We start from the raw sequence: 16,072 nt of genomic DNA, 5'->3' as shown, positions 1-16,072 counted from the left end.
TTTATTTGTTACATTCTGATTGGGTTGTGCTTGGTCTCAGAAGTAGCATTATACATATTTTGCTTTGTGATTCCAGTTTCTCTTTTCCATATATACATTTATATTTACTTATGGAATATATATATATATATATATATATATATATATATATATATATATAAAATTTGGAAGGTGCATTTATTTTTGGAAGTGAGGAAGGATGCATCTTAAATATGAGCAGAAATTTTGATGAGAGCTCTGATAAAGGGAAGCAGATGATGAATGAGGCCAGCAAGGAAATGGTACTGGCACAAAAGGGGCTGTAGCAGGGAAGCCTGCTCAGTGCAACTGATGGACTGTCTAAAGGACAGTCAGGAGCTCCTTAAGAGAACAAAGGCTTGGAATGGGATGGGAAGCAATGGAGAGTGGGGCAGAGGCTGGACAGAGTATATCAGGCCTGGGAACCAAGGGAAACGTGTAAATCATCAAGAAGATAGAATACACAATTGGAGAGCCAAGAGCGAAGGTTGGGGAAGGAGATAGAGGCCAGAAGTTGACATGTCTTAGGCAGGAGATTGGACTATCTTGTAGGAGATGAGGAGCCTTTGTAGAATTTTTGGCAGGGATGTGAATTTATCAGAGCTATATTCCTGGAAACATGGAGTGTAATTAGCAGCTAAGTATTGCAAGAGTGCAGACAGGGTCTGATAAAAGCCTGAACTCCAGTAAAGGTATTGGAGGTGAAGCATGAAACAAATTCAAAAGAAATTAAAACAAAATTGGTAGAATTGTATTCCAACAGAACTGTCATGTTTAAAAGAAAAGTTCATATGGGCGTAGGCAGCTATCTGGGTGAAATGGCTTTGTGGAGTCAAGATGAAAAAAATAGGGTGCAGCTTTCTGCAATGTCATCCAGCCAGTCACCACAGGGGCAGGATGAACAGGGCAGGCAAGAGCCTCCTCACACATACTCCATGCTCATGCAGACTGGGTACCACAACTGCGAAGATTCTGGGCCAGGAATCCCAAAAGGTCATCTCCCATAACTTAAGTGAGAAATAGCACTGAGAAGAGAAAAATAAAAGCTGAGAGTGGAGAAGGAATGAACTAAGGTGAGGGAATGAACTAAGTCAAGATGGGGCAGGCAGGTTTATCCTGGGTGTAGAAGCAGTTAGTGGAGGGAGAGGAGATGGTTGGGGGAAGACTATCCTGGGTACCAGTCTCCACAATGTTTCTTTTGCTAATGGCAGCTTAGGTCACTCCATGATAGTAACTTTGGTCATTTCATGATAATGTTGTGTTTGTGTTTGCTTCACTTTAGAAACAAGTTTAATTCCAGCACAGTCTTAATTTATCTATAATATAGAAGCCAAAGGTTTTACCTAATATAGTTCACCTAATATAAACTTTTATAGCTGGCTTCCAGAGGATGAGTAAGGCAAAAACTATTAGTGACTCCATTACTTGAAATTACTTATGTGTCAGAAATATACCACCAATTTCCTAGGGCACATTATATCCAATTTTATATGTAAATTTAGTATGGTGTTAATGATATGGAACCATGCATAACATTGCTTTTATAATATTTATGTAAAATACCAGTAATTGCAATGAACGTTGATTATAATTTGGGAAATTAGTTGTAATGATTATATATGATATGCATGTTGGTAAAATGCCTTTCCTTTTAAATGAAAACTAATGGCTAAATTAATAAAGTTTGAATGAAAATCAAATTTAAAACTAGGCTGTTGCAGTTACTTTTCTAAATTGATTAGCTACCTGGGAAATCTCTAGAAAATAGAAATGGTTAGGGAATGAACACATTTTGAATAATAGCAATAGCATACTGAGAGGTACAGTAGAGAGACCATCTGATTCTACGATAAAGGGTAATGGGAGTTTTCCACTTAATTTGCTTAAACCTGAAAGGCAGAAGAAATATGATAGGAGGGGCCCTGGATTTGGTATGATGGGATCTAATCTCCATTTTGCCACCCAGCGGCTCTGAGACCCTAGGCTGAGTACTTAACCTTCTTAACCTTAGCATTCATACTGCTAAAACATCAGCAATCAAAGCTACTTAATAAGATAATGTAAAAATGAAAAAGTCATAATGTCAGTAAAGGGCTTGGCTCTGTGTCTGGCACCAAATATGTGCTCAGTAGTTATTAGATGTTAACTATAGCAGTTATCAGTTGGGGGATTTTTTTTTTAATTATACTTTAAGTTCTGGGATACATGTGCAGAGTGTGCATTTTTGTCACATAGGTATACACGTGCCATGGTGGTTTGCTGCACCCATCAACTCATCACCTACATTAGGTATTTCTGCTAATATTATCCCTCCCCTAGCCCCCCACCCTCCGACATGCCCTGGTGTGTGATGTTCCCCTTCCTATGTCCGTGTGTTCTCATTGTTCAATTCCCAGCTATGAGTGAGAACATGCAATGTTTGGTTTACTGTTCTCATGATAGTTTGCTGAGAATGACGGTTTCCAGCTTCATTCCCCACAAAGGACATGAACTCATCCTTTTTTATGGCTGCATAGTATTCCATGGTGTATATGTGCCACGTTTTCTTTATCCAGTGTATTATTGATGGACATTTGGGTTGGTTCCAAGTCTTTGCTATTGTGAATAGTGCTGCAATACATATACATGTGTATGTGTCTTTATAGTAGAATGATTTATAATCCTTTAGGTATATACCCAGTAATGGGATGGCTGTGTCAAATGGTATTTCTAGTTCTAGATCCTTGAGGAATCGCCACAGTCTTCCACAATGGTTGAACTAATTTACACTAGTTGGGGGAATTTTTCTAACAAAGCCAGTTAATAATGACATTGGTCATCTCATTACCCAGTAAGGCAACTACATGCAAATGCATCATTCTAAGCCATAGCAGTCTTTGATTGGCAGGGAGTCAGGGGAGTCAGGAGGATTGTCCCCAGCATAGTGGCCAGCACTGAGGCACTCATTAAAGGTTTGGCAGATGAACAGAATCCACAACTGAACAAGTCTAGGCTATTATAAAGTCAAATCTCTATGTCTTTCTCCTTTTGCCTTGATAATAAGAGAATGGAAACCAGAATTCGGTACAGACCTCTCCACCCCTTTATCATTTTTTGTACTTTAGGGAACAGATATAACCTCCTTTCACATTTACAAGTAAAGTAATTGTGCAAAGTACTCATTGAGAGTTGTTGTTAAGTTTGTCACTTCCTACTTGAGACTTCAATTACAACTCAGAAAAGCACGGAGCAAAAGTCTTATAAGCCACATTAAGTTTCTCATTTTTCTTTTGCACGAAAAGATATCATTCCTGTTTTGAGTAACTCTTTACTGATATCATCCCACAGGATAAAAAGAGAGAGGTGCTCTAAGACCATAGCTATCTTTTAATGTAAATTGTTTCAGGATATACAGTATTCAAGAAGATGTGAATTAGATGTCACCATGTGAATCAGGATACTTTTGTTCACAAATACTAGAAAAGGATACACCAAGTGACAAAAAAAAATGGTAATTTCATTGGTTCACAGCAACAAAAAGGCCAGAGATGGGGCTGGCTACAACCTAAGGGTGGGACCCTGTAGGGCTGCAAGAAGAGGCCAAAGCTCCTTGGCTCCATGATTCATTGCTCCTGTTGAGCAAGGAAAGAAGCACATCTCTGTCCTACCATTCCTAGCAAGAGTCTGAGTCTGGGGAGTCATTCTTAGACCTGGACTAGGTTTAGTCAAATGGCAACCACAAATCCAGTTGTCCGGCCAAAGGGATAAAATGTGCTTCCTGACTTCGCCCAGGTCATGGCTCTATCACTAGACTCAGAGATGAAGTGAACTTCCACAGAACATCATGGAGCACCAAATGGAAATTTGGGACCTACTAGGGCTAGGGAGGCAAACAACACAAGTCCACACTTGACTTAAACGTGCTATCTTTATTTTTATTTTATATTTTTATTATTATTATTCTTTAAGTTCTAGGGTACATGTGCAAAATGTGCAGGTTTGTTACATATGTATACATGTGCCATGTTGGTGTGCTGCACCCATTAACACGTCATTTACATTATTTATTTCTCCTAATGCTATCCCTCCCCCATCCCCCTGACCCCTCATCAGGCCCCCGTGTGTGATGTTCTCCATCCTATGTCCAAGTGTTCTCATTTTTCAATTCCCACCTATGAGTGAGAACATGCGGTGTTTGGTTTTCTGTCCTTGCGATAGTTTGCTGAGAGTGATGGTTTCCAGCTTCATCCATGTCCCTACAAAGGACATGAACTCATCCTTTTTATGGCTGTATAGTGCCATATTTTCTTAATCCAGTATATGTGCCACATTTTCTTAATCCAGTCTATCATTGATGGACATTTGGGTTGGTACCAAGTCTTTGCTACTGTGAATAGTGCCGCAATAAACATACATGTGCATGTGTCTTTAAAGCAGCATGATTTATAATCCTTTGGGTGTATACCCAGTAATGGGATTGCTGGGTCAAATGGTATTTCTAGTTCTAGCTCCTTGAGGAGTCACCAGTCTTCCACAATGGTTGAACTAGTTTACAGTCCCACCAACAGTGCAAAAGTGTTCCTATTTCTCCACATCCTCTCCAGCATCTGTTGTTTCCTGACTTCTTAATGATTGTCATTCTAACTGGTGTGAGATGGTATCTCATTGTGGTTTTGATTTGCATTTCTCTGATGGCCAGTGATGATGAGCATTTTTTCATGTGTCTGGTGGCTGCATAAATGTCTTCTTTTGAGAAGAGTCTGTTCATATCCTTTGCCCACTTTTTGAAGGGTTTTTTTTTTTCTTGTAAATTTAATTTCTTTGTAGATTCTGGATATTAGCCCTTTGTCAGATGAGTAGGTTGCGAAAATTTTCTCCCATTTTGTAGGTTGCCTGTTCACTCTGATGGTAGTTTCTTTTGCTGTGCAGAAGTTCCTTAGTTTAATTAGATCCCATTTGTCAATTTTGGCTTTTGTTGCCATTGCTTTTGGTGTTTTAGACATGAAGTCCTTGCCCATGCCTATGTCCTGAATGGTATTGCCTAGGTTTTCTTCTAGGGTTTTTATGGTTTTAGGTCTAATGTTTAAGTCTTTAATCCATCTTGAATTAATTTTTGTATAAAGTGTAAGGAAGGGATCCAGTTTCAGCTTTCTACATATGGCTAGCCAGTTTTCCCAGCACCATTTATTAAATAGGGAATCCTTTCCCCATTGCTTGTTTCTGTCAGGTTTGTCAAAGATCAGATGGTTGTAGATGTGTGGTATTATTTCCGAGGGCTCTGTTCTGTTCCATTGGTCTATATCTCTGTTTTGGTACCAGTACCATGCTGTTTTGGTTACTGTAGCCTTGTAGTATAGTTTGAAGTCAGGCAGCATGATGTCTCCAGCTTTGTTCTTTTGGCTTAGGATTGACTTGGCAATGTGGGCTCTGTTTTGGTTCCATATGAACTTTAAAGTAGTTTTTTCCAATTTTGTGAAGAAAGTCATTGGTAGCTTGATGGGGATGGCACTGAATCTATAAATTACACCTTGGGCAGTATGGCCATGTTCACGATATGGATTCTTCCTATCCATGAACATGGAATGTTCTTCCATTTGTTTGTGTCCTCTTTTATTTCATTGAGCAGTGGTTCGTAGTTCACATAAGGGTGAACTTATAAGGGTCCTTCACACCCTTATAAGGGTCCTTCACACCCTTATAAGGGTCCTTCACATCCCATATAAGTTGGATTCCTAGGTATTTTATTATCTTTGAAGCAATTGTGAATGGGAGTTCACTCATGATTTGGCTCTGTTTGTCTATTATTGGTGTATAGGAATGCCTGTGATTTTTGCACATTGATTTTTGTACCCTGAGACTTCGCTTAAGTTGCTTATCAGTTTAAGGAGATTTTGGGCTGAGACGACAGGGTTTTCTAAATATACAATCATGTCATCCGCAAACAGGGAAAATTTGACTTCTTCTTTCCCTAATTGAATACCCTTTATTTCCTTCTCCTGCCTGATTGCCCTGGCCAGAACTTCCAACACTATGTTGAATAGGAGTGGTGAGAGAGGGCATCCCTGTCTTGTGCCAGTTTTCAAAGGGAATGAGTCCAGTTTTTGCCCATTCAGTATGATATTGGCTGTGGGTTTGCCATAAATAGCTCTTATTTTGAGATACGTCCCATTAATACCTAGTTTATTGAGAGTTTTTAGCATGAAGGGCTGCTGAATATTGTCAAAGGCCTCTTCTGTGTCTGTTGAGATAATCATGTGGTTTTTGTCTTTGGTTTTGTTTATATGATGGATTACATTTATTGATTTGTGTATGTTGAACCAGCCTTGCATCCCAGGGATGAAGCCAAAATGATAGTGGTGGATAAGCTTTTTGATGTGCTGCTGGATTCGGTTTGCTAATATTTTATTGAGGATTTTTGCATCGATGTTCAGCAGGGATATTGGTCTAAAATTCTTTTTTGTTGTATCTCTGCTAGGCTTTGGTATCAGGATGATGCTGGCCTCATAAAATGAGTTAGGGAGGATTCCCTCTTTTTCTGTTGATTGGAATATTTTCAGAAGAAATGGTACCAGCTCCTCTTTGTACCTCTGGTAGAATTCAGCTGTGAATCCATCTGGTCCTGGACTTTTTTTTGGTTGGCAGGCTATTAATTATTGCCTCAATTTCAGAGCCTGTTATTGGTCTATTCAGGGATTCAACTTCTTCCTGGTTTAGTCTTGGGAGGGTGTATGTGTCCAGGAATTTATCCATTCTTCTAGATTTTCTAGTTTATTCGCATAGAGGTGTTCATCGTATTCTCTGATGGTAGTTTGTATTTCTGTGGGATCAGTGGTGATATCCCCTTTATCATTTTTTATTGCATCTATTTGATTCTTCTCTCTTTTCTTCTTTATTAGCCTTGCTAGCAGTCTATCAATTTTGTTGATCTTTTCAAAACACCAGCTCCTGGATTCATTGATTTTTTGAAGGGTTTTTTGTGTCTCTGTCTCCTTCAGTTCTGCTCTGCTCTTAGTTATTTCTTGCCTTCTGCTAGCTTTTGAATGTGTTTGCTCTTGCTTCTCTACTTCTTTTAATTGTGATGTTAGGGTGTTGATTTTAGATCTTTCCTGCTTTCTCTTGTGGGCTTTGAGTGCTATAAATTTCCCTCTACACACTGCTTTAAATGTGTCCCAGAGATTCTGGTACGTTGTGTCTTTGTTCTCATTGGTTTCAAAGAACATCTTTATTTCTGCCTTCATTTCATTATCTACCCAGTGGTCATTCAGGAGCAGGTTGTTCAGTTTCCAAGTAGTTGTGCAGTTTTGAGTGAGTTTCAATCTTGAGTTTTAATTTGATTGCATTGTAGTCTGAGAGACAGTTTGTTATAATTTCTGTTCTTTTACATTTGCTGAGGAGTGCTTTACTTCCAACTATGTGGTCAATTTTGGAATAAGTGTGACGTAGTGCTGAGAAGAATCTATATTCTGTTGATTTGGGGTGGAGAGTTCTGTAGATGTCTATTAGGTCCGCTTGCTGCAGAGCTGAGTTCAAGTCCTGGATATCCTTGTTAACTTTCTGTCTCATTGATCTGTGTAATGCTGACAGTGGGGTGTTAAAGCCTCCCATTATTATTGTGTGGGAGTCTAAGTCTCTTTGTAGATCTCTAAGGACTTGTTTTATGAATCTGGGTGCTCCTGTATTGGTGCATATATATTTAGGATAGTTAGCTCTTCTTGTTGAATTGATCCCTTTACCATTATGTAATAGCCTTCTTTGTCTGTTTTGATCTTTGTTGGTTTAATGTCTGTTTTATCAGAGACTAGGATTGCAACCCCTGCTTTTTTTTTGTTTTCCATTTGCTTGGTAGATCTTCCTCCATCCCTTTATTTTGAGCCTATGTTTGTCTCTGCAGGCGAGATGGGTCTCCTGAATACAGCACACTGATGGATCTTGACAATCCTATTTGCCAGTTTGTGTCTTTTAATTGGTGCGTTTAGCCCATTTACATTTAAGGTTAATATTGTTATGTGTGAATTTGATCCTGTCATTATGATGTTAGCTGGTTATTTTGCTCATTAGTTGATGCAGTTTCTTCCTAGCCTTGATGGTCTTTACAATTTGGCATGTTTTTGCAGTGGCTGGTATCAGTTGTTCCTTTCTATGTTTAGTGCTTCCTTCAGAAGCTCTTGTAAGGCAGGCCTGGCGGTGACAAAATCTCTCAGCATTTGCTTGTCTGTAAAGGATTTTATTTCTCCTTCACTTATGAAGCTTAGTTTGGCTGGTTATGAAATTCTGGGTTGAAAATTCTGTAAGAGTGTTGAATATTGGCCCCCACTCTCTTCTGGCTTGTAAAGTTTCTGCCGAGAGTTCCGCTGTTAGTCTGATGGGCTTCCCTTTGTGGGTAACCCGACCTCCCTGGCTGCCCTTAACTTTCTTTCCTTCATTTCAACTTTGGTGAATCTGACAATTTATGTGTCTTGGAATTGCTCTTAAGGAGTATCTTGGTGGCATTCTCTGTATTTCCTGAATTTGAATGTTGGCCTGACTTGCTAGGTTGCGCAAGTTCTCCTGGATAATATCCTGAAGGGTGTTTTCCAACTTGGTTCAATTCTCCCCGTCACTTTCAGGTACACCAATCAGACGTAGATTTGGCCTTTTCACATAGTCCCATATTTCCTGGAGGCTTTGTTTAACTCATTTTTCTCTATACTTCTCTTCTCGCTTCATTTCATTCACTTGATCTTCAATCACTGATACCCTTTCTTCCACTTGATCAAAATGGCTACTGAAGCTTGTGAATGCATCAGATAGTTCTTGTGCCATGGTTTTCAGCTCCGTCAGGTCATTTAAGGTCTTCTCTACGCTGTTTATTCTAGTCAGCCATTCGTCTAATCTTTTCTCAAGGTTTTTAGCTTCTTTGTGATGGGTTCGAACATCTTCCTTTAGTTCGGAGAAGTTTGTTATTACTGATCTTTTGAAGCCTACTTCTGTCAGCTCATCAAAGTCATTCTCCATCCAGCTTTGTTCCATTGCTGGCGAGGAGGTGCGTTCCTTTGGAGAAGAGGTTCTCTGATTTTTACACTTTTCAGCTTTTCTGCTCTGGTTTCTCTCCATCTTTCTGGTTTTATCTACCTTTGGTCTTTGATGATGGTGACCTAAAGATGGGGTTTTGGTGTGGATGTCCTTTTTGTTGATGTTGATGCTATTCCCTTCTGTTTGTCAGTTTTCCTTCTAACAGTCAGGACCCTCAGCTGCAGGTCTGTTGGAGTTTGCTGGAGGTCCACTCCAGACCCTGTTTGCCTGGTTATCACCAGCAGAGGCTACAGAACAGCACATGTTGCTGCCTGATCCTTCCTCTGGAAGCTTTGTCTTAGAGGGGCACCTGGCTGTATGAGGTGTCAGTCTGCCCCTACTAGGAGGTGTTTCCCAGTTATGCTACTCGGGGGTCAGGGACCCACTTGAGGAGGCAGTCTGTCTGTTCTCAGATCTCAAACTCCATGCTGGGAGAACTACTCTCTTCAAAGCTGTCAGACAGGGATGTTTAAGTCTGCAGAAGTTTCTGCTGCCTTTTGTTCAGCTATGACCTGCCCCCAGAGGTGGCATCTACAGAGGCAGGCAGGCCTCCTTGAGCTGCAGTGGGCTCCACCTAGTTTGAGCTTCCTGGCTGCTTTACCTAGTCAAGTCTCAGCAATGGTGGACGCCCCTCCCTCAGCCTCACTGTTGCCTTGCAGTTCGATCTCGGACTTCTGTGATAGCAGTGAGCAAGGCTCTGTGGGTGTGGGCCACTCTGAGCCAGGTGCAGTATATAATCTCCTGGTGTGCCGTTTGCTAAGACTGTTGGAAAAGCACAATATTGGCAGGAAGTGTCCTGATTCTCCAGGTACCATCTGTCACAGCTTCCCTTGGCTAGGAAAGGGAATTCCCCAACCCCTTGCGCTTCCTGGGTGAGGCGATGCCCCACCCTGCTTCGGCTCACACTCTGTGGGCTGCATCCACTGTCCAACAAGTCCCAGTTTAGATGAACCTGGTACCTCAGTTGGAAATGCAGAAATCACCCATCTTCTGCGTTGCTCATGCTGGGAGCTGTAGACTGGAGCTGTTCCTATGTAGCCATCTTGGGGGGATTCCCCAAAAGTGCTATCTTTAAATCTTTCATTGTTTCTCTGCTGTTTTGTGTGGTGGTGAGGTCAATGCCAGTGATGAGTGCTGTAGGCCAGTGATTCTCAAAGTGTGATCCCTGGAAGCAGTACAGGCTTCCCCTTGGAATGTGTCAGACATGTAAATTTTGGGGTCCCACTTCAACCTAATGAATCATAATTCTTGGAGTAGGTCCCATAAATCTTTTGGCACACTCCCCAGGTGACTGTGTTGCACATTATATTTTGAGAACCAATACTCTAAGCATGTTTTCAAAGACCCTGTGGCCAGCTCCCCTTACAATTAATGACATATTATTACTACGCTGTGAATTTTTAAAAATATCGTTTACATTGATAACAATCAATCTCATCTAGCCTTTCAAAACTGCTCAGCAATCTTCCTTGAATAAGGCTCTATGTTCTGCAATGTATATTTTATGCCTTCTGAAAAAGCTAAGGATTTTTTTTTTTTTTTTGAGACAGAGTCTTGGTCTGTCATCCAGGCTGAAGCACAGTGGTGCAATCATAGTTCACTGTAGCCTCGACCTTCTGGGCTCAAGTGATTCCCATCTCAGCCTCCCAGGTAGCTGGGACAACAGGTGTGCACCACCATACCCAGTTAATTTGTTTTTCTTGCTGTTAATTTGGATCTGGCTGCGTTGCTCAGGCTGCTTGCAAACTCTTGGACTCAAACAACCTTCCCACCTCCACCACCCAAAGTGCTGGGATTACAGGCATGAGCCATGATCCCCAGCCTGCTGGTTGTGCAAGATGTACACTCATACCTCCAAGGGCTGTCATTACCTTTTAACTAAACTACATTCTATGTCATAAATAATTTTCTAAAATATGGCAGGGAAATAATTTGAGGGAGGTCTCCCTTTCTCTAATTTGCATGTCATCTTACTGCTTAGTATCAGAGCTTCTGCCTCTCTCCTCAAACCTCAGATTCTTACCTCTTCTACCAGGCTCCTCACTCTCAAACAGCTCACACTCACTAAAGCTATCGGACAGAAACACAGTCATCTTCCCACCTGCAAAGCAGCTGCTGGCATCCACACCATGTTCTTCTGTCTCATGTATCAACTCCCTTCTCAGATCGGCCCATCTACCCATGTTCTGGATCCTCCCCACCTTCTCAAGAGCACAGCCCATTTCTGACTCTTACTCTTTTTAGATTCTTCTCTTCAGTATTCAAAGTGCTCCTCATTAAAAATTACTCTTCACTCCTACTCCACTGGACCGTTCCCTATCACTTGCTGGTGACCTCCATGTTGCTGGTCCAGTGAACATTTTTCCAACCTTGGAGCAAAATGAACAATCCTTTCCTAGGGAAATGCTCTGTTCTCCTGACTCACTTCTTTAGCAACTTCTTTTCAAGATGCTTTGCCAGCTTCTCCTCTCTGTACCTGCCAAATATTGGAATTCCTTGTGGCTTTCTCTGGAATCTTGTTTTTCTCTCACTTGACATTCTACCCTTCATGCCAATGGGAAGCAAACTAAGTATGGTGATCCAGTTGCCACAGCACCATATATTGAGATTATTCTTTCCATAGCTATTGAATGGTCTTGGCACCATTATCGAAAATCAATTGGCCACAGACAGCTGGTTTATATCTAGACTCAATTCTATTCTACTGTTCTATATATCTGTCTTTATGCCAGTACCACACTGTTTTGATTAATGTAACTTTGTACTAAGTTTTGATATTGGGCAGTGTGAGTCCTCCAAGTTTGTTTTTCTTTCTTAAAATTGACTGGGCTATTCAGGGTCCCTTGCAATATGAATTTGACAATTATTTCTGTTTTTGTCTTTTTCATTTTTGCTAAAAAAGGTCTGTGGCCATTCTTGATAAATTTGCTTAAGTGGAAGGGTTGTATAATTCTTTACCATGATAAAAGTAAGTATCATGCTTAAAAGCGAATTGAAATATTCTCAAGTTCAAGAAAAAACTAAGAATATCTATTATCATTTTCATTATGTAACACTGTTCTATATATATTAGGCCATATAATTAGAAAAAAGTAAACATATAAAAATTAGAAAAAAAGGTAAAATTAATTCCATTTGCAGCTAATATTGCACACATGAAAACCCAGAAGAAAACCAACGTATGTCAGCAAATTGACAGGGTATAAAATTATCATACAGAAATCAATGGCTTTCATACATACAAACAACTAGTTTAGAATATATGATAGAAAAAAATATCTCATTTACAACAGCAACAGAAATATTAAAATACCTAGAAATAATGATGAGAAAAAATGTAAAAGAACAATTTGGTTAAATAAACTACGATGTATTTACATATACAATGGAAACTCAAATTGTTTCCCTGATTTATGCTTAAGTGGAAAAAAAAGTATAGAAGTCTGTTAGCTAGTAAAACAAATATATCTTATACTTGTGTATGCACAAAAATTCCTTGGAAGTAAATACAAACTATTTATGCCAGTAGTCTATGAGTGAAAGGAACAGGTGGCTGGGTCCAGGAAGGGAAGAAAGATTTTTCACCAGGCAGCTTACACAATTTTTAAATGTTGAACTATATGGATGTTACTTATTTAAAAAAGAAAAAACATTTTGAGAAATTCAGATAGAAATACAGCTATAAAAGGAAGGAATGTGAGAAAGGGAGATATAATGCAAATTCACCCAGAAGACTTTTGGATTTCCCCTCTGCTTTCATTCCTACCTAAAAGTGGATTATAAACTGAATACAGCACATTGTAACGTTAACCCTGCTGTACATAACAACAAGAAATCTGGCCAGGCGTGGTGGCTCACGCCTGTAATCCCAGCACTTTGAGAGGCGGCGGTGGGCAGATCACAAGGTCAGGAGTTCGACACCAACCTGGCCAACATGGTGAAACCCCATCTCTACCAAAAATACAAAAATTAGTCAGGCATGGTGGCGGGTGCCTGTAGTCCCAGCTACTCGGGAGGCTGAGGCAGAAGAATGGCTTGAACCTGGGAGGTGGGAGGTGGAAGTTGCAGTGAGCCAAGATTGTGCCACTGCACTCCAGCCTGGGCAACAGTGCGAGATTCCATCTCAAAAAAAAAAAAAAAAACAAAAAAAAAAACACTAAATGAATTTAATCAAGTTAATCTGGCCAGTCTGCAATGCAATCTAACCAGGATACAAACTGAGGGCTCCATTTACTTAACAAAAACTTACATAGCCAATGTCATTGCCAAGGACTGTTATAAGCAGCCTCTTTTTTAATCCTCATAAAATTGTGAAGAGGTAGATACTATTATTAGCTCCATTTTACAGATACGAAAATTGAGGCAAAGGGATGTTAAGTTGCCTGAAGACACAAAGCCATCCAGTAATATAGCTGGAGGGTGAATCCAGGCAGTCTGTCCTTTCCAGTTCCATGCTCTTACCCACTGTCCACATGTAAATTATAACTGGATTTCTAATTAAAGACCACAATTGGTTTATCTTTTATGGACAGCCACATTTCTTATTAGCAAACGGTTTTTCATTGAAGTGTGTTATGTGTGCACTTGTATTTTTTTGAAAAAACTATTATTAGATTCTTTTAGTAAATCATGTGCACTTGCAGTGGAAAGCCAATACCACTTATACTCAAGCCTCTAGCTGTGTGGGTACGCACTGGTACAATTTCCAGTATGACCATTGATTTAACTCAGTTTCCAATTAGAATATGAAAATGTTAAGACTAAGGAGTGATTTATGCCCACAGAGAAGTCTGAAAACTAGACAACCAATAACACATCAATCATTTTGCTAAATGTTCAAGATCCAGAGGGTTGTAGCCCTTACTTACATCATTTGTTTTTTTTGTTTTTGTTTTTTTAAAAATGTCATATAAAATTGAATTTTTATTTCTTTTCAGGATTTCATCAAAGGTCTTTCCATTTTGCTCCGGGGGACAGTACAAGAAAAACTCAATTGGGCATTTAATCTGTATGACATAAATAAAGATGGCTACATCACTAAAGAGGTAAGGGATGCCTCACCAACATCACAGTAATTTGGACCATTTTCATTTCTTAACTTTAAAATATTAATTGCAATTATTAATTTGAAAAGTTTTTTTGAGGAAATTCCAAAATATTTTATGTAGTGGAAGAAAGATGTACAATTAAAAACTTGGGATAGAAGTAGTTTATGGTGAAGCTCCAAAGTAAATATATAACACATAAAGATTACACCCTTGTTTCCTGCTGGCATCTTAATAAATACTGTGAATGGAATAAAGATCATGGTTGGAATCAGATAGAAAGAAAATGTATCCAACCCATGTTTCAACATTTAGCCTGAAGCCTTTCTTTTCCCCACAGCATGTGATCCATAAGGAAATGAAATTTTACAATCATGGGGATTGTGGAATGACCTGACGCAATGGTGGGGTCTCCAAATGCACGTTGAGGCAGACTATCCAGGAAACAAGGTTCACAGACCAAATTAAGATACTCGTATTACACAGTTTATTAAACCAATTTAAAACACAGCGAGAAGTAAAGAAAGGGATGGAGTAAGTTAACCACGCAGGACAGGCTGCAAATGGGGTTGAAAGACCACTCCCTAAATCCTGGGCATTCTCAGTGTGCCTATGTCCTGTCTCTCTTTGCCTCACGAGACTTCCCCAGAATTGAGTTTTGAGCAAGAGGCCCCACAGACAAAAGGTGCCCAGGGCCAACAGCAAATGACATGAACTTGCGCTACTGGAGAGACACAGGTGCAAGTGTGCCAGGTCACGAGTATAGCCTGATAAGTAGTAATGGGTTTCATTTGTGTTTCTTGCACAGAGGACACCTGGGGCCAGAATAGGTATCACTAGTGGGTGCCAAATTAAGACCTTATGGCTATTGTGTTCATGTATATGGAGCATATCCTAAATAGTGCTTCTTGTATATTTTTATATCATGAATATTTATTACCCAGATACTTAGGATACCTTAAATATCTCTTGTTCTTCAATTCTTACCTCTGTGTTTAACACATCTCAAGAATTCTGCCTGTGTCTAACAAACTACTTGCTACTTATCTATGCTTAAAACATCTTAAAAGGTTTCACCTGTTTACAAATTACTCTATCATTTATAATTGAATACTCTTAAAAGTAAATATATATTCGCTCTGTATTAACCTAATTGAGAGATCTTTCACGTGAAACAAATGTGCAACAATAAATCTAAATGTTTAAGTTATTAGAGATTATTTTTACTCTCATAAGAATGAAAGTGGTAAGGCAAAAATTAGACTGTTTTAGAGAAAAAGTTAATAACAAAATTTAAAGGTGTTTCCCAGGGTCAAAATTTTTTGACTAGTCTTCACATGTGACTTAAGTTAAAGCCACAGTAGGAAAAATACAACAAAAACCCTAATGAACCTTAAGACTTACCAATTAATTTCACTAATTCTAAATGGTGTTTTTTCTCAATATACGATGTGCCGTATATTTGATTCTCAATAGATGGAAACTGATGATCAACACATAAGATATATAATGCAATTAAATAAACATAGTCTACTTAAAGTCTATAGAAATCCAAACATTAAGCCAGCATATTCTTTTCCTGACTATGGTAGATACATGGAAATTTGCTTCCTTTTGAAACCAAGAGATCAGAATTCATTCTTAAATTCTGATTCTTCTGCTCTTAAGGCAGAAAGCTGTTTGTTGCCTTTTCCTTTGGGACAACCAACAGTCGTCTAACAAAGAATCCAACAAACAAAAAGTCAAAAATTTAAAATTGAGTAGGAAAAATCTGTCAGAGCTTCTTAGACTGGTTTCTTCATACATGTGTGCAGCCTCACGTGAGTGCCTTTTATTTTTCAGGAAATGCTTGATATAATGAAAGCAATATACGATATGATGGGTAAATGTACATATCCTGTCCTCAAAGAAGATGCTCCCAGACAACACGTTGAAACATTTTTTCAGGTAGGAATTAAAACAGAAGTCAAGAGGGCATG

The 16,072-nt window shown here is 39.3% G+C and overlaps 2 protein-coding genes across 22 annotated transcripts in view, besides 1 other annotated feature; one reads left to right on the top strand and one right to left on the bottom strand.

Annotated features, from left to right (window-relative positions):
* Window positions 1-16,072, bottom strand: part of PACRGL (parkin coregulated like) — a 71,092-nt gene that overhangs the window by 18,653 nt on the left and 36,367 nt on the right. The window lies entirely within an intron of this gene.
* The window catches only part of KCNIP4 (potassium voltage-gated channel interacting protein 4), a 1,220,167-nt gene that overhangs the window by 1,200,052 nt on the left and 4,043 nt on the right, over window positions 1-16,072 (top strand). For all 8 annotated transcript variants that reach the window (NM_147181.4, NM_025221.6, NM_147182.4 and 5 more), the window contains 2 exons: window positions 13,986-14,093; window positions 15,936-16,040. In NM_147181.4, the coding sequence (NP_671710.1) occupies window positions 13,986-14,093; window positions 15,936-16,040 (213 nt within the window). The remainder of the gene's footprint in view (window positions 1-13,985; window positions 14,094-15,935; window positions 16,041-16,072) is intronic.
* Window positions 10,048-10,217: an enhancer, noted in NCBI's record as "experimental_77676 CRE fragment used in MPRA reporter constructs". NCBI's record gives its function as "activates a minimal promoter by MPRAs in K562 erythroleukemia cells, with activity observed for both the introgressed and non-introgressed 4:20740212 variant alleles {active_cell/tissue: K562}" and the evidence as "EXISTENCE:reporter gene assay evidence [ECO:0000049][PMID:34662402]".

The sequence above is a fragment of the Homo sapiens genome, chromosome 4 (genome assembly GCF_000001405.40).
Source record: "Homo sapiens chromosome 4, GRCh38.p14 Primary Assembly".
Lineage (NCBI taxonomy): Eukaryota > Metazoa > Chordata > Mammalia > Primates > Hominidae > Homo > Homo sapiens.
The sequence above is the reverse complement of the archived record's forward strand: the minus strand, read 5'-3'. Positions and strand labels throughout refer to the sequence as shown.